Source organism: Homo sapiens, chromosome 19 (genome assembly GCF_000001405.40).
Source record: "Homo sapiens chromosome 19, GRCh38.p14 Primary Assembly".
NCBI classification, from domain to species: Eukaryota; Metazoa; Chordata; class Mammalia; order Primates; family Hominidae; genus Homo; species Homo sapiens.
Genome location: NC_000019.10, coordinates 18,399,374 through 18,419,727, shown reverse-complemented (window position 1 = coordinate 18,419,727; position 20,354 = coordinate 18,399,374). Strand labels below are relative to the sequence as shown.

The 20,354-nt window shown below is 55.2% G+C and overlaps 1 protein-coding gene across 16 annotated transcripts in view, besides 10 other annotated features; it reads right to left on the bottom strand.

The window, feature by feature from the left end:
- Window positions 1-17,003, bottom strand: part of SSBP4 (single stranded DNA binding protein 4) — a 31,838-nt gene extending 14,835 nt beyond the window's left edge. For 6 of the 16 annotated variants that reach the window (XM_006722666.3, NM_032627.5, XM_047438366.1 and 3 more), the window contains exon 1: window positions 21-330. In XM_006722666.3, coding sequence (XP_006722729.1) covers window positions 21-79 — 59 coding nt within the window. In that variant the 5' untranslated portion in view covers window positions 80-330. Of the gene's footprint in view, window positions 1-20; window positions 331-578; window positions 849-3,846; window positions 3,935-16,931 lie in introns of those variants that run through there. The other 10 variants (XR_936164.4, XM_006722665.5, XM_005259790.4 and 7 more) reach the window with 5 other exon arrangements.
- Window positions 5-554: a silencer, noted in NCBI's record as "silent region_10395". NCBI's record gives its function as "represses an Ori minimal core promoter by ATAC-STARR-seq in GM12878 lymphoblastoid cells {active_cell/tissue: GM12878}" and the evidence as "EXISTENCE:reporter gene assay evidence [ECO:0000049][PMID:35858748]".
- Window positions 1,775-2,314: a silencer, noted in NCBI's record as "silent region_10394". NCBI's record gives its function as "represses an Ori minimal core promoter by ATAC-STARR-seq in GM12878 lymphoblastoid cells {active_cell/tissue: GM12878}" and the evidence as "EXISTENCE:reporter gene assay evidence [ECO:0000049][PMID:35858748]".
- Window positions 1,920-2,159: a silencer, noted in NCBI's record as "fragment chr19:18528379-18528618 (GRCh37/hg19 assembly coordinates)". NCBI's record gives its function as "represses an EF-1alpha promoter that drives an FKBP-Casp9 reporter gene in an ReSE screen in K562 erythroleukemia cells {active_cell/tissue: K562}" and the evidence as "EXISTENCE:reporter gene assay evidence [ECO:0000049][PMID:32094911]".
- Window positions 2,595-2,654: a silencer, noted in NCBI's record as "silent region_10393". NCBI's record gives its function as "represses an Ori minimal core promoter by ATAC-STARR-seq in GM12878 lymphoblastoid cells {active_cell/tissue: GM12878}" and the evidence as "EXISTENCE:reporter gene assay evidence [ECO:0000049][PMID:35858748]".
- Window positions 3,038-3,673: an enhancer, noted in NCBI's record as "H3K27ac-H3K4me1 hESC enhancer chr19:18526865-18527500 (GRCh37/hg19 assembly coordinates)". NCBI's record gives its function as "activates a minimal SCP1, AML or CMV promoter by ChIP-STARR-seq in naive H9 embryonic stem cells {active_cell/tissue: H9 hESC(naive)}" and the evidence as "EXISTENCE:reporter gene assay evidence [ECO:0000049][PMID:30033119]".
- Window positions 3,800-5,255: a transcriptional cis regulatory region, noted in NCBI's record as "candidate enhancer chr19.2899 targeted for multiplex CRISPR interference". NCBI's record gives its function as "positively regulates SSBP4 gene expression with high confidence in K562 cells {active_cell/tissue: K562}" and the evidence as "EXISTENCE:mutant phenotype evidence [ECO:0000015][PMID:30612741]".
- Window positions 8,850-8,899: a silencer, noted in NCBI's record as "silent region_10392". NCBI's record gives its function as "represses an Ori minimal core promoter by ATAC-STARR-seq in GM12878 lymphoblastoid cells {active_cell/tissue: GM12878}" and the evidence as "EXISTENCE:reporter gene assay evidence [ECO:0000049][PMID:35858748]".
- Window positions 8,920-9,019: a silencer, noted in NCBI's record as "silent region_10391". NCBI's record gives its function as "represses an Ori minimal core promoter by ATAC-STARR-seq in GM12878 lymphoblastoid cells {active_cell/tissue: GM12878}" and the evidence as "EXISTENCE:reporter gene assay evidence [ECO:0000049][PMID:35858748]".
- Window positions 11,067-11,567: an enhancer, noted in NCBI's record as "H3K4me1 hESC enhancer chr19:18518971-18519471 (GRCh37/hg19 assembly coordinates)". NCBI's record gives its function as "activates a minimal SCP1, AML or CMV promoter by ChIP-STARR-seq in primed H9 embryonic stem cells {active_cell/tissue: H9 hESC(primed)}" and the evidence as "EXISTENCE:reporter gene assay evidence [ECO:0000049][PMID:30033119]".
- Window positions 11,206-11,305: an enhancer, noted in NCBI's record as "active region_14317". NCBI's record gives its function as "activates an Ori minimal core promoter by ATAC-STARR-seq in GM12878 lymphoblastoid cells {active_cell/tissue: GM12878}" and the evidence as "EXISTENCE:reporter gene assay evidence [ECO:0000049][PMID:35858748]".
- Window positions 17,004-20,354: the final 3,351 nt, after the last annotated feature.

Sequence of the window (20,354 nt, the reverse complement as noted above, 5' to 3'; positions counted from 1 at the left end):
GCCCCCGGCCCCGCACTCACTTCTCGCGGGCCTGGCTGTCGGAGGGCACGGCCGAACCCTTGCCCCCCTTGGCGTACATGCTGCTCCACGCCGCCGCCGCCGGGGCCCACACCTGTCAGGCGGCGCCGCGGGCCGCGCTTGCCGTCGCCATAGCTACCCCGCGCCCCGGGCCTCACCGCCCCGAGCCCCAGGCGGGCACGGCAGGCATCGTCCGCGCGGGGGAGCTCCAGACGGCCGCGGCGGCGGCGGCAGCGGCGGCTCCAGCTCCGGCCCCGGCCGCAGGGTGGCTTTTTTTCCTCCCTTTCCTCCGCGCGGGCTGTTCCGGGAAACGCGCGCTCCCCTCCTCCCGCCGCGCGCGCCCCCGCCCGCTGCCTCTACGCCGCCCGCGGGCGCAGCTCTTAAAGGGGCGATGGCGGGCGCGCGGGTGGGTCCCGCCGCCGGAGCGCGCACGCGCAGTGCCCGCCGCGGGGGGTGGGGGCGCGGCTACACACTCGCGGGTCAGGATCCCGGACGGCCACCCAGGGACGCACAGCTGATCGCGGCTGCACACGCGCGCGTGCACACACACGTTCACTCACCTCAAATGGAGCCGGCCACCCACATTGTTGTACACCCAGCCACACACATTCGCAGCGACACTCAACATAGCGCTCCACACAGCAAAAGTGTACCCCGCTGCTGGAACGACTGCGGATAGCCCCATAAAGCCTCAGGCAGTGACATTGGGTGTCTCACCCCGCAGAGCTACCCACACTCAGCAAGGGTGGGAACCACCGCACATACAGCCCGCCCAGCGACACACATACACTGCCACACACCCAGCTCACAGTGGCCGTCCTGGAACAACTAAACACAGGCCACCGCACACAGGCACCCAGCCTCACGCAGGCGCGCGCTTATGCAAGGCCGTGCCACAGCTTCCAACAGCCGTGGACAGAGCCCACGGAGTTAACTCACAGTCACCCTGGGGCGCACTATCGCGGCCTCCTCAGAACCACACCCTACCCAGCTCCACAGTCACAGGGCCTGCGGACACTCAGCGTCCCGCCCGAAGTCACACAACACAGACACAACCCAGGCACACAGACACAAAGCTCCTATAGTACCCAGGCTGTGGGAGCCACCTGGCACCACCCCGAAGTAACACCCGGTGACAATACTAGGTGCTGGGTGACTGCTGTTTGGGCTTCTCAGCCTCGGTGCTGTGAGCTGTAAATGGGGCGCATCCCACCTTTGTCTGCGGGAGTCAGGGTGCAGGCAGTGGGTGCCCTTTTCCCCTTTTAGGGCCCTTCATCCCCCCACCAGGGGTGTTCAGAGAGGGTGGGGGCGGATACTGAGTCAGGGACCCCCGCAGGGCAGGGATGCCCGGGTACCAGTGGGTCGTGTGTGGATGGGCAGGGTAGGGGAAGGCGGTGCGGTTGACTCTGGGTCTAGATGTTTCTGTGTTTGCCACGGCTATTCCTCTTTTTTCCTAGGCAAGCCCGCGTGTGTGCAAACACGCGGCTCCCGTGTGAGTGCACGTGTGCATCCTTGTGCGTGGGGGGCGGGCAAACACCCAATAAATTATCGCTGTCTCGGCGACTGTCCCTGGCTGCGCGGTGGCAGTTGTGGGTCCGAGTCGGGCCGAGTCGCTCAGTGAGGTTGCGTGCACAAGTGTGTGCCGAATGTGCACGTGTGTGTCTCCGCGCGTGGGTGGGCCGCCAGCTCCCTAGGACCTGTGTGTGGCTCTGTGCTCACGTTTCGTGTGTGTGTTTGTGTGTGAATGTCTGGATGTCTCTCGCTGCCAGCTGACCCCGCAGATGCCTCCCCGATAGAGGCCGCCCCCCAGTACGTGAGAACCCCCCGCCCCCACCCCAAGCCTTCTGGCCGGCGGGAAGTCGGGAGCCGCCGGGGCTCCAGACCCGCGGAGAGGAAGGGAAGGGCAGGACCGGCCCCAGCCCCGCCTCCTCCCCGAGGGGCCTCGGCGCGGGAGGGGGGACGCCAGCCCTTCCCACTTCCTGTCCAGCCGGCCGCCCCTTCCCCCAGCTTCCTCTCCCGCGGGCCTCCGGGCCCCGGCTCGGCGGGGTAGGAGGGGCCCGCACAATTCCGCAGGGCCTCGGGCTGGCGACGGCCCCGGAGCCTGGGGGACCACGGGGGGCGTGGGCTTCGGCGTCCAGGTCACTCCCATCCTAATGACCGCTCCCACCACTGCCCCCGCCAGCGCCTACTCCTAATGAGGCACAGAGAGGGTGTGGCTCACCCAAAGTCACACAGAGCCTTGGTGACAACCGGCACTCCCGGGCCCGGCAGATGCCCCTCCTGCCACCCCCAGTTTAATCTCCTAAAGCTCCGTGGCTCCCCAGGGCCCTGTGTGCCCTGGTTGGTCCCTCGCCCCCTGTGAGCCACGGTTCCTTGGGTCAATGTGAGTCTTCACCCCATTAAACATGTATTGAGCGCCTACTGTGTGCTGGGCTCCGGAGACCCAGCCGGGACACGTTGCTACCTCTTGGAGCTCAGAATCTGATGGGGGAGGCGGACAGTCAAAAGCTGGCGAGTCAGTCGGTTAATTTCAGGGAGTGCCACGTGCGTGAGAGGGAGGGGACCCCTGGTGACAGGACGGGCGACGGCGGGGTCGGTCGGTCTCCCGGGGGAGGGCGGAGGCGGAGGGAGGGAGGGAAGGAGGGAGGGAGGCTGAGGCGCCGGCGGCCCAGAGAGCTGTGATGGGGGAGGCGCGGAGGGCGGGAGCGAGGAGCGCGGTTCTCATGGCAACCGGGAAGGATCTCCAAACACAGCCTGGGCGCTGGCGGAAAAGTGCGAGGGCAGCGGGCCCTGGGTCCCACGCGGCGTCGGGGAGCTGAGCCGCGCGCACTCCCAACCAGGGCGCACGCCTTGCGGGGGCAGAACCCGCAGAAAGGGACCCCCCACCCACGCGAAGGACGGGCAGGGCGGGGAGGAAAAATTATTAATAACGGGGAGAGGAGGGGTGGATTTGAAAGACCTGGAAGTGGAATGTTCAGACTGTAGTCACAGTAAGGGCCAAGGCCCTGAGGTGGGCACACGGCGAAGGCGCTGGAGGCAGAGCCAGGAAGCAGCCGTGGCCGGGGCAGGGTGAAGAAGAGGGGGATGATGGCAGGGAAGGCAGAGAGCTAGACCACGCCCAGAGGGGAGGGGGTGAGATTTTTTTCTAAGAGCATTAGGGAGCAATGGGAGGGTGTGGAGCCGCGAGGAGAGGATGGGATCTACGTCACGATTTTAAGAAGCTCCATGGGAGGCCGCACGTGGTGGCAGCGTGTGCCTGTAGCCCCAGCACTTCGGAGGCCGAGACAGGATGATGGCTTGAACCCAGCAGGTGAAGGCTGCAGTTAGCTGTGATCGTGCCACTGCACTTCAGCCTGGACGACAGACCAAGACTCTTACTAAAAACTAAAAAAACCGGCCGGGCGCGGTGGCTCATGCCTGTAATCCCAGCACTTTGGGAGGCTGAGGCGGGCGAATCACCTCAGGTCAGGAGTTCGAGACCAGCCTAAACAACATGGTGAAACCCCCTCTCTACTCAAAACACAAAAATTAGCTGGGTGTAGTGGCGGGCGTCTGTAATCCCAGCTACTCAGGAGGCTGAGGCAGGAGAATCGCTTGAACCCGGGAGGCGAAGGTTGCAGTGAGCCAAGATTGCGCTCCAGCCTGGGCATAGAGTGAGACTCCGTCTCAAAATAACAACAACAAAAACTAAAAAAACCTAAGAAGCTCCGTTGCCAGTGAGATCAAGGTGGCACAGAGGGGGCGGGGAGGTTGCCCCGGGGAAGGGGCCCAGGGCAGGTCCTCGGCTGGGTCTCTGCTTCTTGGGGTGGACAGTGGTGAGTCACCCACCATGGATGTCCCCTAAATACGGGTCAGGGGCTGTGCCTGGAGGAGCCCTAAGGAGAATCTTCTTTTAGGGCAGGGAGGTTGCCAGGAGAAGGGGCCGACTGTACCCTCACCCTGGATCCACCCTGCACAGTCCCACCCATAAGCCTTTGCGCTAGCGGTTCCTGCCGCCTGGAACGCTTTTTCTCTGGCTTCTGGCCTGGCCTACTGAGGCTCCTCCTTTGGCCAAGGGTTCCTCCTTGGTCCTCCTGGGGGAGGAGGCCAACTCCTCCTCTTCCTCTTCCTCTCCCTCCTCCTCTTCCTCCTCCTCCTCCAAGCCTTCCCTGGGCACTGCCCCCGCAAGACTGTTTCCGCACAGTCCCTAGTTGGACTTGGCAGTATTCGGATGAAATAACGCATCCCGTCCTCAGTTGGCCGCCTCCGCCTTCCTCTGGGTCCTGTCTCCTTGAGGACACAGCAGTGGGGGGGCCCACGAGTACTCCCCATTCCTGCAGAGGAGGCCGGGTTGGGTTTTCCTGCTGGTGGTTTTTCTTCTCCATAGGTGGCGGAAACGGCCTCCCTCCCTCCTCCTCATTAAAGTGGGGGGCCCTGGGAGGGGCCAGGACTGGGGCTGGCGCCCCCTGCAACCCCTCCCCAGCCGTGCGTGCGTGGGAGGCGGCCACAGCTGGGAGCCGGGTCTGCGCTAGGAGACCGTTTCCTCTCAGAAGCTGTAATTATGGGTAATTTTCTAAATGCAACACAAAAATTAAAACCCAAACAACACCAGGGTGGGAGCAGCCACAGCAGCTGGTGAACACGAGGGTAGGTCGAGGGTGGGGGGTGGGAGGAGCTGGGCCTTTGACTCAGGAAGGCTGGGGGTGGCCAGCATGGGCAGAGGGGTGTTCAGACAGCCTCACTCCTTGGACAGCCAGCTAGGGTTTCTGAAATGGGGATTATACCCCAAGACTAGTTGCCTGGAGGCGGAAACTCACAGATAGAGGCTCTGGGCCTGGGTTTGAACCTAGCTGTGCCCTGGCTCACTGTGTGGCCTTGACCGGGAAACAGCTGAACTTCAGTGACCCCTCCAAGCCACTGGGTCATGCCACCAATCCCACAGGGCTGCGAGGGACTCCGGGTGACAGAAGGGATACAGGAGGGCCTGGCCAAGAAGCCTCTGCCAAACCTGCAACTCACACCCCCACGTCCGTCCTCCACAAAGCTTAACCAAAGCCGGTACACTTCTGTGCTTCTAGCACCTTGTGTGGCTTTCACCGGCCACACATCGAAGCCCCACCCCTCTGCCCTGCACTTGAACTCCAGAGTCATACTAACCCTTGGGAACTGGCTTCCATCCTCTGGTAATGTCCTCCTTCCAGACCAAAGAAGGTGGCAGCATCTCTAGTTTTTCTTTTTAGATATGGGTGTCTCACTCTGTCACCCAGGCTGGAGTGCAGCGGCACAATCATAGCTCACTGCAGCCTCAACCTCCGGGTTTAAGTGATCCTCCCACCTCAGCTTCCCAAGTAGCTGGGACCAAATGCATGCACTAACAAGCCCAGCCATCATTTCTTCTCCCCATGTTACAGATGGGGAAACTGAGGCTCGTAAAGGAACCAAGGACGTCATGTGAGCGACCCAGAGGCAATACCCCACCCATCAGAGTGCTTCCAGTACCCTGTCTGGTCTGGGAGACTCGAGGTGTCTCTTAGAAATCCCAGGTCTAGGAGGAGGGTCTGTAATAGCTGCTGGTAGCTCTGGGTGCACGCTGGCTGCAGCCCATCCTGGGCCTAACCACGTGGCTGCACTCCCCACCGCCAGCTTCTGCTACTCCTCACCTGTAGCTTTCTCTGGCCGAGGGAATGCCGTTTTTTTTGTTTGTTTGTTTTTTTGAGATGGAGTCTTGCACTGTTGCCCAGGCTGGAGTGCAGTGGCACAATCTCGGCTCACTGCAACCTCCGCCTCCCAGGTTCAAGCAATTCTCCTGCCTCAGCTTCCTGAGTAGCTGGGATTACAGGTGCCTGCCACCACACCTGGCTAATTTTTGTATTTTTAGTAGAGACGGGGTTTCACCATGCTGGCCAGGCTGGTCTTGAACTCCCGACTTCAGGCGATCTGCCCGCCTTGGCCTCCCAAAGTGCTGCGATTACAGGTGTGAGCCACCACCGTGCCTGCCCTGGGAATGCCCCGTCTAAGGACATGCCAGTCTCCCTAAGGTCTCCGACAGGACTGAGCTTCATTTCCCACGACCTCCCCTGCTCCTGGGCACCCCCTGCAGGGCCCTTCCCCAGCTCCCATGGCCGGATACCCATGTGCCCCACATTCTCAGTGTGCCATCTTGGGTCTGTTTTCTGGGAAATCAAAATGAGGTTGGGGGTGGATAAACACCCCACAGGGCTGGGTGTGGTGGGTCACGCCTGTAATCCCAGCACTTTGGGAGGCCAAGGCGAGTGGATCACCTGAGGTCAGGAGTTTGAGACCATCCTGGCCAACATGGTGAAACCCCATTTCTACTAAAATTACAAAAAATTAGCCAGGCGTGGTGGCGCGTGCCTGTATGTAATCCCAGCTATTCAGGAGGCTGAGGCAGGACAATCTCTTGAACCCAGGAAGCGGAGGTTGCCGTGAGCTGAGATTGTGCCATTGCACTCCTGGCCGAGGAGCCTCTGCTGAACCTACAACCTCCCACCCTCACGTTCGTCGTCCCTCCCCCACGTCCACAATAAGACCAAAACTCCGTCTAAAAAAAAAAAAAAAAAAACCCAAACCAAAACACCCCACGCTCCTCGCCCCTGAGTGGGACCCCTCTGAGATGAGCATCTACACTGTCCCCCAGCTGTCCCAGGCGGGGCTGAGCGCCACTCATCCACATGTGTCATGTCTGTTGGCAGTTGGTGCCCCCTGTAGGGCTCCTTCCCTTCCTGTCTCATGTCCCATTCCCTACCAGGAGCTTCCTGGGGTCACCTCCCAGGTATCCCCTCACCCCACCTGATCCCACCTGCCCTTGAATCTTCAACTCAGAGCCAGCTACTGGAAGCCCCAGCTACCGTGCACCCAGCGCTCTGCTTCAGTGCTCTCGCTGAACCTCAACCAGCTGCCTTGGCAGCCTCCACCTCCCGGGCTTAAGCAGTCCTCCCACCTTGGCCTCCCAAGTAGCTAGGACCACAGGTGTGCGCCACCACTCCTGGCTGTCATTTCTTCTCCCCATGTTACAGATGGGGAAACTGAGGCTCATCACGGCATCAAGGGTGTCGTGTGAGAGACCCATAGGTGGCACTCACCTATGTCTGAGAAAGGTTCAGAGCAGCAAAGCAACTTGCCTGGGGACACAAATCAGGGAGTGGAGGCACCAGATCTGACTTCGAGGTACCCTGACAATGCCCATTCCTCACCTCGTCTGTCTAGAGCTCCAGCCTCCGCCTCCTCCTTTTTTTTTTTTTTTTTTTTTGAGATGGAGTCTCATTCTGTTGCCCAGGCTGGAGTGCCGTGGTGCGATCTCGACTCACTGCAAACCTCCACCTCCTGAGTTCAAGCAATTCTCTGCCTCAGCCTCCCGAGTAGCTGGGATTACAGGCGCCTGCCACCACGCCCGGCTAATTTTTGTATTTTTAGTAGAGACGGCGTTTCACCATCTTGGCCAGGCTGGTCTTGACCTCCTGACCTGATGGTCCACCCACCTCAGCCTCCCAAAGTGCTGGGATTACAGGCATGAACCACTGCACCTGGCCCTCATCCTCCTTTTTTTAGAGACAGTCTCACTCTGTCACCCAGGCTGGAGTGCAGTGGCACAATCACAGCTCACTGCAGCCTCAAACTCCTGGGCTCAAGCGATCCTCGCAGCTCAGCTTCCCGAGTAGCTGGGGCAACAGACGTGCACCACCAAGCCCAGCTAATTTTATTTTGTGTGTGTGTGTGGGGGGTCTGACTTTGTTTCCCAGGTTGGTCTCGAACTCCTGGCCTCAAGCGATCCTCTCGCCTCAGCCTCTCAAGTAGCTGGGACTACAGATGTGTGCCACTGTGCCCAGATTCAGTCTCTCTTCTTACTGGTGGAAGAAAGATTTCCTGTGGTACCCTAAGGTCCATCCCTCTCGGGATGGTACAGGGACACGAGTCTTTTCTTCCCTTCTGGGGGTCCTTTGGCTTAACAACACCACAGAGTCCACACTTGGTAAGTACCTGATATTGAGCATGTTTTGACATGATTATGTTAAATGCATCCAGGTCATCCCACCCCAGGGCCTTTGCATTGGGTTTTCTCCTGGCCGGGATACCTTTTCTACAACTGTACACCATGGCCAGCTTCTCTTCATCCTTCAGGCTTCAGCTCCAGTGACATACCCTCGGAGAGGTCCCCAAACCTCTGTTTGGATTATATTACCTTGTTGGATCTTCCTGGATACTTTTTTTTTTCTTTAAGACGAAGTCTCGCTCTGTTGCCCAGGCTGGAGTGCAGTGGCGCAATCTTGACTCACTGCAACCTCCCTCTCCTGGGTTCAAGCAATTCTCCTGCCTCAGCCTCCCGAGTAGCTGGGATTACAGGTGTGTGCCACCACGCCCGGCTACTTTTTGTATTTTTTTAGTAGAGACAAGGTTTCATCATGTTGGCCAGGCTGGTCTCAAACTCCTGACCTCAGGTGATCTGCCCACTTTGGCATCCCAAAGTGTTGAGATTACAGGCGTGAGCCCATGCACCTGACCCTTCCTGGATATCTTGTTTGTTAATTTTTGCATATTTATTGCCCCAGGAACCCTTGAGCTCCATGCGGGCAGGAGGTTTCTATGTTTTGCTTTCTTTTGTAGAGAAGGGGGTCTCACTATGCTACCCAGACTGGTCTTGAACTCCTGGCCTCAAGTGATCCTCCTGCCTTGGCCTCCCAAAGTGCTGGGATTACAGGCGTGAGCCACCGCGCCCGGCCGAAATTTGTATGTTTTGTTCAGGGCTGTGTCCCTAGCGCTTATAACACTTTCTGGCATACAGTAGGTGCTCAACAAATATTTGTTGCTGAGCAAATGGACTAAAGATTACCAATGTCCCCTCTGTGCTGAACTCCTCTGTGTGGTCTACGGAGTTGCCTGCCTTCGCCAAGGCAGCCAGCACCTGCGGTTCCGAATATAACCACTTGAGGGCAGCAGAGACTCAATGTAGCAACTCCTGAGAATCCCAGCAGGTCCCGCCCCCAGCATCCCCTTGAGGCCTCCCTGAGCTAAGACCCCAAGGGTCAGCGGTGGAATCTAGTCTGCCTCTCTTGACCTTGCCCTTGCTCTCAGGTCGGCTTACAAATGTATATTTACATATTTCTGTATTGAATTATTTCATGGCAAGGAGGAGGCAAATATAGAAAACATCACCCAGTCACGCCACACCCCCAAAAATCCTGTCCCCATTTTGAACTCCTCCCTGCGCATCTTTTTTTCTTGTTTGTCCATATTTTTTTCTAGAGAGGCCTTCTTTGACTAGCCCGTTTAAAACTGAACCAGGCCGGGCGCGGTGACTCACGCCTGTAATCCCAGCACTTTGGGAGGCCGAGGTGGGCGGATCACTTGAGGTCAGGAGTTCAATACCAGCCTGGCCAACATGGTGAAACCCTGTCTTCACTAAAAATACAAAAATTAGGCCGGGCGGGGTGGCTCACGCCTGTAATCCCAGCACTTTGGGAGGTCGAGGCGGGCGGATCATGAGGTCAGGAGATCGAGACCATCCTGGCTAACACGGTGAAACCCCGTCTCTACTAAAAATACAAAAAAAAATTAGCCGGGCGTGGTGGCGGGCGCCTGTAGTCTCGGCTACTCTGGAGGCTGAGGCAGGAGAATGGCTTCAACCCGGGAGGCGGAGCTTGCAGTGAGCCGAGATCGTGCCACTGCACTCCAACTTGGGCGACAGAGCGAGACTCCGTCTCCAAAAAACAAAAATTAGCCAGGTGTGGTGTCATGCGCCTGTATTTCCAGCTACTCAGGCGGCTGAGGCAGGAGAATCGCTTGAACCTGAGAGACAGAGATTTCAGTGAGCCGAGATTGAGCCACTGCACTCCAGCCTGGATGACAGAGCGAGACTCAGACTCAAAAAAGAAAGAAAAAACAAAAACTGAACCAGGCCAGGCACGGTGGCTCATGCCTGTAATCTCAGCATTTGGGAGGCCGAGGAGGGAGGATCACGTGAGGCCAGCAATTTGAGGCCAGCCTGGGCAACACAGTGAGACCTCCTGTCTCTACAAAAAATAAAAAATTAGCTGGATGTGGTGGAGCCATGATTGTGCCACTGCACCCCAGCCTGGGTGACAGAGCAAGACTCTGTTTCAAAACAAGAAAAATCTTTGAACCATCCTACTCTCCCGACTCCTTGACTCTAATTTTTTGGCCATGGCATTTTTTTTTTAAGTGAAATCAAATTTATTAAGAAAGTAAAATAATAAAAGAATGGCTACAGCTGGTCGCCATGGCTCACGCCTGTAATACCAACACTTTGGGAGGCCGAGGCAAACAGATTGCCTGAGCTGAGGAGTTCGAGAACAGATGGGCAACATGGTGAAGCCGTATCTGTACCAAAATCACAAAAAATTAGCCAATTGACGTGGCGCACACCTGCAATCCCAGCTACTCAGAAGGCTGAGGCGAGAGAATCGCTTGAACCTGGGAGGTAGAGGTTGCAGTGAGCCCAGATCGCACTACTGCACTCCAGCCTGGATGACAGAGCGAGACTCTGTCTCAAAAAAAAAAAAAAAAAGAATGGCCACTCCATAGGCAGATCAGCACCACAGCACTATTACTGTCTAATCTCCTTTATAATTTGCTGATTTAGGCCGGGCATGTTGGCTCATGCCTGTAATCCCAGCACTTTGGGAGGGCAAGACGGGAGGATCGTTTGAGGCCAGGAGTTTGAGACCAGCCTATGCAACATAGCAAGACCCTCATCTCTACAAAAAATCAAAAAATTAGCCAAGTGTGGTGGCCCACACCCATGGTCCCCACTACATGGGAGGCTGAGCCAGGAGGATCGCTTGAGCCCAGGAAGTGGAGGTTGCAGTGAGTGAGATCACGCCACTGCACTCCAGCCTGGGTGACCGAGTGAGACCTTGTCTCAAAAAAACAAACCAAAAGAACTGTCTTAATTTGGTGGTTTGGGCCGCGTGCGGTGGCTCACGACTGTAATCCCAGCACTTTGGGAGGCCAAGGCAGGCGGATCACCTGAGATCAGGTTCGAGACCAGCCTGGCCAACATGGCAAAACCCTGTCTCTACTAAAAATACAAAAATTAGCCGGGTGCGATGGCGGGCGCCTATAATCCCAACTACTCAGGAGGCTGAGGCAGGAGAATCACTTGAACCTGGGGGGCGGAGTTTGCAGTGAGCCGTGATGGTGCCACTGCACACCAGCCTGGGAGATAGAGCGGTACTCAGTCTCAAAAAAAAAAAAAATTGGTGGCTTGGTGAAGGAGACTCTAAGACTCAATTCAGGGGCATTATCTGAGAGGTGATCCCAGAAGCCCTCCTGGGGGTTAAAGAGGCAGGAAGGGAAGGGGAGCCCTGCAGGGGGTGCCAGCGAGCAGGTTCAACGTGGGCCACCAGGAATGGGTCCTTTCTCAGGGAGACAGCAACAGAAGAGGTGCTTCTGTTGTCCTACCTGAGGGTGGAGGGAGCGGAGGCATTTACAGCCAACTCTCCTTCCGTCTGTGGTTGAAGACTGCTCTCAAGAGAGCCATGTGGCCATGACGTGGCCTCCCGTGGTCAGCGTCACTGTCAGCCAAGAAATGCAAGCCTCACAGGTGGGACATGCTTGGCCGACCATGGCTGCCTTCATGCCACGTTTTATTTCCCCACGACTCTCCCAAAGGTATTCAGTGGCTTTTAAAATTTTACTAGAACCAGCAGGGCGGGCGTGGTGGCTCATGCCTGTAGTCCCAGCACTCTGGGAGGCCAAGGCAGGAGGGTTGCTTGAGCCCAGAAGTTTGAGACCAGTCTGGGCAATGTGGTGAAACCCTGTCTCTACCAGAAAAATAGAAAAATTAGGCGGGTGTGGTGGTGTGCACCTGTAATCCCAGCTACTTGGGAGGCTGAGGTAGGAGGATCACTTGAGCCGAGGAGGTGCAGGTTGCAGTGAGCCATGATTGCGCCACTGCACCCCAGGCTGGGTGACTGAGCCCAGACTCTGCGTCAAAAAACAAAACAAAACAAAAATTACTAAGGCCGGGTACAGTGGCTCACACCTGTAATCCCAGCACTTTGGGAGGCCGAGGTGGGTGGATCACGAGGTCAGGAGATCGAGACCATCCTGGCTAACACAGTGAAACCCCGTCTCTACTAAAAATACAAAAAATTAACCGGGCGTGGTGGCGGGCGCCTGTAGTCCCAGCTACTCTAGTCCCAGCTACTTGGGAGGTTGAGGCAGGAGAATGGCGTGAACCCGGGGGGCGGAGCTTGCAGTGAGCCCAGATCACGCCACTGCACTCCAGCCTGGGCAACAGAACGAGACTCCGTCTCAAAAACAAAAACAACAACAAAAAAAACATTACTATAACTAACAAGGCCATGTGACCTTAAACAAGGTCTTCTCATGTTATTAAAAAGTCATGCTTTGGGCTGGGTGCTGTGTCTTACGCCTGTAATCCCAGCACTCTGGGAGGCCGAGGTGGGAGGATCACCTGAGGTCAGGAGTTCGAGACCAGCCTGGCCAACAAGGTGAAACCCCGTCTCTACTAAAAATACAAAAATTAGCCAGGCGTGGTGGTGTGCATCTGTAATTCCAGCTACTTGGGAAGTTGAGTCATGAGAATCGCTTGAACCCGGGAGGCAGAGGTCGCAGTGAGCCAAGTTCATGCCCCTAACACTTCAGCCTAGGAGACAGAGCGAGACTCCATCTCAAAAATAATAATAATAATAATAAAATAAAAAATATAAAAATACAGAGGAGGCAGCCAAGGCACAGAGATGTTGAGGTGCGGGTCCTAGGTCACACAGCTTGGAAGTGTCTGAGCCAGCCTCAATCATCGTTTGATGAATGAATGCGTATAGGTCCACAATGTCCATGTCAGTCCACCTTCCAGCCGTTCCTTTAAGTCCTCCCTGGCCCAGACTCATGGTCATTACACCTACTTCTGGTCCTGACCGCTGGCTCCAGAGCCCCTCAGACCCCTCCAGACTTCCAGGCCTTATTGAGGGTCTCTGGTGCTTGGCTCAGCCCTCCCCATCTCTCTGGGGAAGACTGGATTCCACCAGCAGCGGACCTGCGGGCAGACTTTGTATTTTTTTTTTTAATTTATATTTTTTAGACATAGGGCCTCACTCTGTGGCCCAGGCTGGAGTGCGGTGGCACAATCATGGCTCACTGCAGCCTTGACCTCCTGGGCCCAACGGATCCTCCCACCTCAGCCTCCCGAGTAGCTGGGACTACAGGCGCACACCACCAGGCCTGGCTAATTTAAAAAAACTTTTTTAGGCAGCACGTGGTGGCTCACACCTGTAATCCCAGCACTTTGAGAGGCCAAGGTGGGAAGATCATTTGAGGCCAGGAGTTTGAGACCAGCCTGGCTAACATTGCAAAACCCCGTCTCTACATAATAATAATAATGATAATAATAATAATAGTAATAATAATAATAGCTGGGCATGGTGGCGCACACCTATAATCTCAGCTTCTTGGGAGGCTGAGGCATGAGAATCCCTTGAACCCGAGAAGGGAAGGTTGCAGTGAGCCGAGAATGTGCCACTGCACTCCAGCCTGGGCGACACAGCCAGATCCTGTCTCATAAAAATAAATAAATAAATAAAGTTTTTGGCTTGGTACAGTGTCTCACGCCTGTAATCCCGACACTTTGGGAGGCTGAGGCAGGAGGATCATTTGAGCCCAGGAGTTTGAGACCTGCCTGGGCAACATGGCAAAAACCCCATCTCTCTTCTTTCTCTCTCTGTCTTTTTTTTTTTTTTTTAGACGGAGTCTTGCTCTGTCACCCAGGCTGGAGTGCAGTGGCGCAATCTCAGCTCACTGCAAGCTCCGCCTCCCAGGTGCACACCATTCTCCTGCCTCAGCCTCCGGAGTAGCTGGGACTACAGGCGCACGCCACCACGCTTAACTAATTTTTTGTATTTTTAGTAGAGACAGGGTTTCACTGTGTTTGTTAGCCAGGATGGTCTCGATCACCTGACCTCGTGATCTGCCTGCTCTCGATCTCCCAAAGTGCTGGGATTACAGGCATGAGCCACTGCACTTGGCCAACCCCATCTCTTAAAATAATACAGATAATTAGCCAGGCATGGTGACATGTGCCTGCAGACCCAGCTACTCTGGAGGCTGAGGTGGGAGGATCACCTGAGTCCCAGAGGCTGAGGATGCAGTGCAGTGAGCAATGATTTTAGCATTGCACTCCAGCATGGGTGTCGGACAGAGACCTTGTCTCAAAAAGATTTTTTTTTTTTTTTTTGTAGAGACAGAGTCTCACTATGTTGCCCAGGCTGGTCTTGAACTCCTGGGCTCAAGCGATCCTCCCAACTCGGCCTCCCAAAGTGCTGGGATTACAGGCATGAGCCATCACGCCTGGCGTGGGGGAGGGTTTTTAAATTCCCCTGCTCTGCCTCATGGCTGTCACAGAGAGGATGGAGGTGGCAGAAAACCAGGAAGGAGGAGGCTGGGGTGGGAGATTTGGGGTCTGTGCAGGTGGCTGGGGAAGGGGGAGGGCAGCCCTTGACCCTGTTCCAGCCTGATCTGACTCCACAGGGCCAGGCATCCATGGTTGCCCCACTGCCTAGACTGAGGGTTCTTGGGGCAGCACCCAGGCTGAGGCCTGGAGGGACTCTGGCATCACCCACCTCAGGGTGGGCTCTGAGGACCTGAGGGTGTTGGGTGAATGTGGTGATGGGGTTGAATTGAGGCGGGGCCACCCCAGGGAGCTTCTTGCCTGGCTCTCCATGTTTTTTTCTTTCGCGGGGGGGGGGGCCTCTGGGCTTTCCAGGGCATCTCTAGGGTCTGTGAGGATCTCTGGGTGGTCTCAATGTCTCTGAATATTTATCTTTTTTTTTTTTTTTTTTTTGAGATGGAGTCTCGCTCTGTTACCTGCGCTGGAGTGCAGTGGCGTGGTCTTGGCTCACTGCAAGCTCTGCCTCCCAGGTTCACGCTATTCTCCTGCCTCAGCCTCCCCGGTAGCTGGGACTACAGACACCCACCACCACGCCCAGCTAATTTTTTGTATTTTTAGTAGAGACGGGGTTTCACCGTGTTAGCCAGGATGGTCTCAATCTCCTGACCTTGTGATCCACCCACCTCAGCCTCCCTAAGTGCTGGGATTACAGGCGTGAGCCACCCCGCCCAGCCTTTTTTTTTTTTTTTTTGAGACAGAGTCTCGCTCTGTCACCCAGGCTGGAGTGCAGTGGCACAATCTCAGCTCACTACAACCTCTGCCTCTTGGGTTCAAGTGATTCTCCTGCCTCAGCCTCCCGAGTAGCTGGAATTACAGGCGTGCACTATCATTCCTGGCTAATTTTTGTATTTTTAGTAGAGGCGGGGTTTCACCATGTTGGCCAGGCTGGTCGTGAACTCCTGACCTCAGGTGATCCACCTGCCTCAGCCTCCTAAAGTGCTAGGATTACAGGCGTCAGCCACCATGCCCAGCCTGGATGTCTCTGAATGTCTCTGAAAGTCTCTGGGGATCTCTGAGGGTCTCTGAGGGTCTCTGGGGATCTCTGAGGGTCTCTGAGGGTCTCTGAGGGTCTTTGGGAGTCTCTGAAGGTCTCTAAATGTCTCTGAGGATCTTGGGGGTCTCTGAGGTTTTCTGGGCATCCCTGGGCGTTTCTGAGTGTCCCTAGGTGTCTCTGCATGCCTATGGTGGCCCCCAAGTGTTTCTGAGGGTCTCTTGGCATCTCTGAGTATAGCTGGGGGGCGGGCTGGTGTCTCTCTGTCTGGGGCCATCTCTGGCGGCTGCCTGGAGGTTTTTGTGCAGACTGGCTGGCCCTGCCTGGGACTCAAGCCTGGGACGGCTTCAGGTACATCAGGGGGCAGCAGAGGGACCCCAGGGAGGTGGCCTCTGAAAGTTCCAGGCTCCCTTCAGCCAGGGATGAGGCCAGTGGAGCCTTGAGCTGTCCCCTTTCCCAGAAACCTGGGAGTAGCCAGCTGGGGCTGTGTCAGGAAGGCCCAGACCCCAGGGGCCCCAGACCCCAAGACTCCCAGACCTCTGGATCCCTAGACCCCAGCACCCCCAGACCCCAAGACCCCCAGACCTCAGGACCCCAGGACCCCCAGACTTCTGGATCCCCAGACCCCAGGACCCTCAGGCCCCAGGACTCCCAAACCCCAAGACTCCCAGACCTCTGGATCCCCAGAGCCCAGGACCCTCAGTCCCCAGGATCCCCAGACCCCAGGATCCTCAGGCCCCAGGACTCCCAAACCCCAAGACTCCCAGACCTCTGGATCCCCATACCCCAGAACCCACAGACCTCAGAACCCTCACATCCTAAGACCTGCATGAAGGGGTGGCCTGCCCCTCCACACCTGTGGGATATCTCATCAGGTGGAATGAGAGACTGAGAAAAGAAATAAGACACAGAGACAGAGTATAGAGAAAGAACAGTGGGCCCAGGGGACCGGCGCTCAGCATACCAAGGACCTGCACTGGCACCAGTCTCTGAGTTCCCTCAGTATTTATTGATTACTATTTTCACTATCTCAGCAAGAGGAATGCATCAAGAGAGCAGGGTGATAGTGGGGAGGAGGTCAGCAAGAAAACATGTGAGCAAAGGAATCCGTGTCACAAGTTCAAGAGCAGGTACTGTGCCTGGATGTGCACGTAGGCCAGATTTATACTTCTCTCCACCCAAACATCTCAGCCGAGTAAAGAGTAACAGAGCAGCATTGCTGCCAATACGTCTCGCCTCCCGCCATAGGGCGGTTTTTCTCCTATCTCAGAATTGAACAAATGTACAATCGGGTTTTATACCGAGACATTCAGTTCCCAGGGGCAGGCAGGAGACAGAGGCCTTCCTCTTAGCTCAACTGCAAGAGGCCTTCCTCTTTTACTAATCCTCCTCAGCACAGACCCTTCACGGGTGTCGGGCTGGGGGGACGATCAGATCTTTCCCATCCCACGAGGCCATGTTTCAGACTATCCCATGGGGAGAAATCTTGGACAGTACCTGACTTTCCAGAGCAGAGGTCCCTGCGGCTTTCTGCAGTGCATTGTGCCCCTGGTTACTCGAGAATGGAGAATGGCGATGACTTTTACCAAGCACACTGCCTGCAAACATTTTATTAGCAAAGCACATCCTGCACAGCCCTAGATCCCTTAAACCTTGATTCCATACAACACATATTTCTGTGAGCTCGAGGTTGGGGCTAAAGTTACAGATTAACAGCATCTCAGGGCAAAGCAATTGTTCAGGGTATGGGTCAAAATGAAGTTTTTTATGTCTTCCTTTTCTACATAGACACAGTAACAGTCTGATCGCTTTTTCTTTTCCCTACATCCCAGACCCCAGGACTACCAAACTCCAGGGCCCCCAGACTGCAGGACCCCCAGATCCCAAGACTCCCAGACCTCTGGATCCCCAGACTTCAGAACCACCAGACCCCTGGACCCCCAGACCCCAAGACTCTCAGACATCTGGATCCCCAGACCCCTATACCCCCCCACCAAACCCCCATATCCCAAGACCCCTAGATCCCAGGACCCCCAAACCTCCGGATCCTCAGACTTTAGGACCCCCAGACCTCAGGACCCTTAGATTCCAGGACTCTCAGACCCCTGGATCCCCAGACCTCAGAGTCCCCAAATCTCAGGACCCCACAGACCTCAGACTCCAAGGCCCCCGGCTCCCCCAGACCCACCTCCAAAACTCACTATCCCAGACCCCAGGCCTGCCTGTCCCCCACCACCTGCAGCCTCGGGTCTGGCACTTCCTCATTTCTTTATTTCCTTTTTTTCTAAGAGGCCTCAGAACTGGGCGTGGAGGACGTGCAGCTGCATGAGGCTCACTGCTGGCTGGGCTCCTCCATCCCTCTGCTCCTTATAAAAGAGGCCCCAAGAGCTCCCCTGCTCCCTCTGCTGTCTACTGAGGACACAGTGAGAAGACGGTCATCTGCAAACTAGGAAGTGAATCTGCTGGTGCCTTGATCTTGGACTTCCCAGCTTCCGGAACTGTTGTTCATAAGCTACCCCAGTTTACGGCATATTTGTTATAGCAGCCTGAACAAACATTTGGAGACATCTGCTCTCTACCCAGGGCTGCTCCCACCACAGGGCCTTTGCACATGCTGTTCCCACTCCTGGATGCTGTTCCCCACATCCCTTCCTCCTTACTCCCTAAGGGGTTCCTTGATCATCCCATTGAAAAGTTGCTTCTGCGGCCAGGCTCAGTGGCTCACGCCTGTAATCCCAACACTCTGGGAGGCTGAGGAGGGTGGATCACCTGAGGTCAGGAATTCGGGACCAGCCTGGCCAACATGGTGAAACCCCGTCTCTACTAAAAATACAAAAAGTTAACTGGGCATGGTCCCATGCGCCTGTAATCCCAGCTACTTGGGAGGCTGAGGCAGGAGAATCGCTTGAACCCGGGAGGTGGAGGTTGCAGTGAGCCGAGATCGCATCACTGCACTCCAGCCTGGGCAACAAGAGCAAAACTCCGTTTCAAATAAATAAATAAATAAATAAATAAATAAATAAATAAATAAAAGTTTCCCATCTCATTTCCTGCCCTTATTTTTCTTTGCAGCATTCCCACCACCTGCACTTGATATATTTTCCCGATGGATTCTGCCTGTTGTCTGTTTCCCCAACTACAGTGAGAGGTGGGGGGAGGGGGGGCTGGGATTTTTGTCTGTTTTATTCACTGCTGTGTCTGTGGTTCATAGTACCTGGTATACAACAGGAACTTCATAAAGGCTTACAGAGGAAATGAATGAGTCTTTCCTTATAGGTTCATAGAGATTTATAATTTCATTTTCAGAACTTTGTGGCATGCTAGGATGGATGAACTGAACTGTTACTAATGTAACCAATCCTTTAAGTTATTTCCTTTTTTTTTTTTTCCTTCTTCTTGAGGCAGAGGATCACTCTGCACTCTGTCACCCCAGGCTGGAGTGCAGTGGCACGATTTCAGCTCACTTCAACCTCTGCCTTCCAGACTCAAGCGATCCTCCTGCCTTAGGTTCCCGAGTAGCTGGAACTGTAAGGATGTGCCACCACTCCCAGCTAATTTTTGTGTGTGTGTATATCTATCTATATATATATATAAAAATTTTTTTTTTTGGTAGACATGGGGTTTCACCATATTGCCCAGGCTAGTCTTGAACTCCTGGGCTCAAGCGATCCTCCTATCTTGACCTCCCAAAGTGCTGGGATTACAGGCATGACTCACTGTGCCCGGCCCATTTTATTTTTTTTCATGTAACAAACAATGCTGCAATGAATCACTTTGAGCCTGGAGCATCTTTTTGCCTTCTCTCTCTCTCTCTTTTTTTTTTTTATATGAAGTCTCGCTCTGTCACCAGGCTGGAGTGCTGTGGCGCGATCTAGGCTTACTGCAACCTCCAACTCCCTGGTTCAAGTGATTTTCCTGCCTCAGCCTCCCGAGTAGCTGGGATTACAGGTACATGCCACCACGCCCAGCTAATTTTTTGTATTTTTGGTAGAGACAGGGTTTCACAGCGTTGGCCAGGATTGTCTCAGTCTCCTGACCTTGTGATCCGCCCACCTCAGCCTCCCAAAGTGCTGGGATTACAGGTGTGAGCCACCACGCCTGACTTTGCCTTCTCAAAAAAACAAACCTGCAACATACACACAACATAAAATTGAACATTTTAGCCAATTTATTTATTTATTATTATTATTTTGAGATGGAGTTTTGCTCTTGTTGCCCAGGCTGGAGTGCAGTGCCGTGATCTCGGCTCAACTGCAAACTCTACCTCCCAGGCTCAAGTGATTCTCCTGCCTCAGCCTCCCAAGTAGCTGGGATTACAGGCATGCGCCACCACACCCGGCTAATTTTGTGTATTTAGTAGAGATGGAGTTTCTCCACGTTGGTCAGGCTAGTCTCAAACTCTGGACCTCAGGTGATCCGCCCACCTCAGCCTCCCAAAGTGCTGGGATTACAGGCATGAGCCACCGCGGCCGGCCCAGCCATTTATTTTAAATTATTTTTTAGAGATAGGGTCTTGCTCTGCTGCATAGGCTGGAGTGGAGTGGCACAATCACGGCTCACTGCAGTCACAACCTTCTGGGCTCAAGGGATCCTCCCACCTCAGCCTCTGAAGTAGCTGGGACTACAGGCTGAAGCCACCATGCCCAGCTAATTTTTAAATTATTATTATTATTATTATTATTATTATTATTGAGATGGAGTCTCGCTCTAACGCCCAAACTGGAGTGCAGTGGCATGATCTCAGCTCACTGCAACCTCTGCCTCCTGGGTTCAAGCGATTCTCCTGCCTCAGCCTCCCTAGTAGCTGGGATTACAGGCACGTGCCACCATGCCCAGCTAATTTTTGTATTTTTAGTGGAGACGGGGTTTCACCATGTTGGCCAGGCTGGTCTGGTACTCCTGACCTCGTGATCCGCCCAC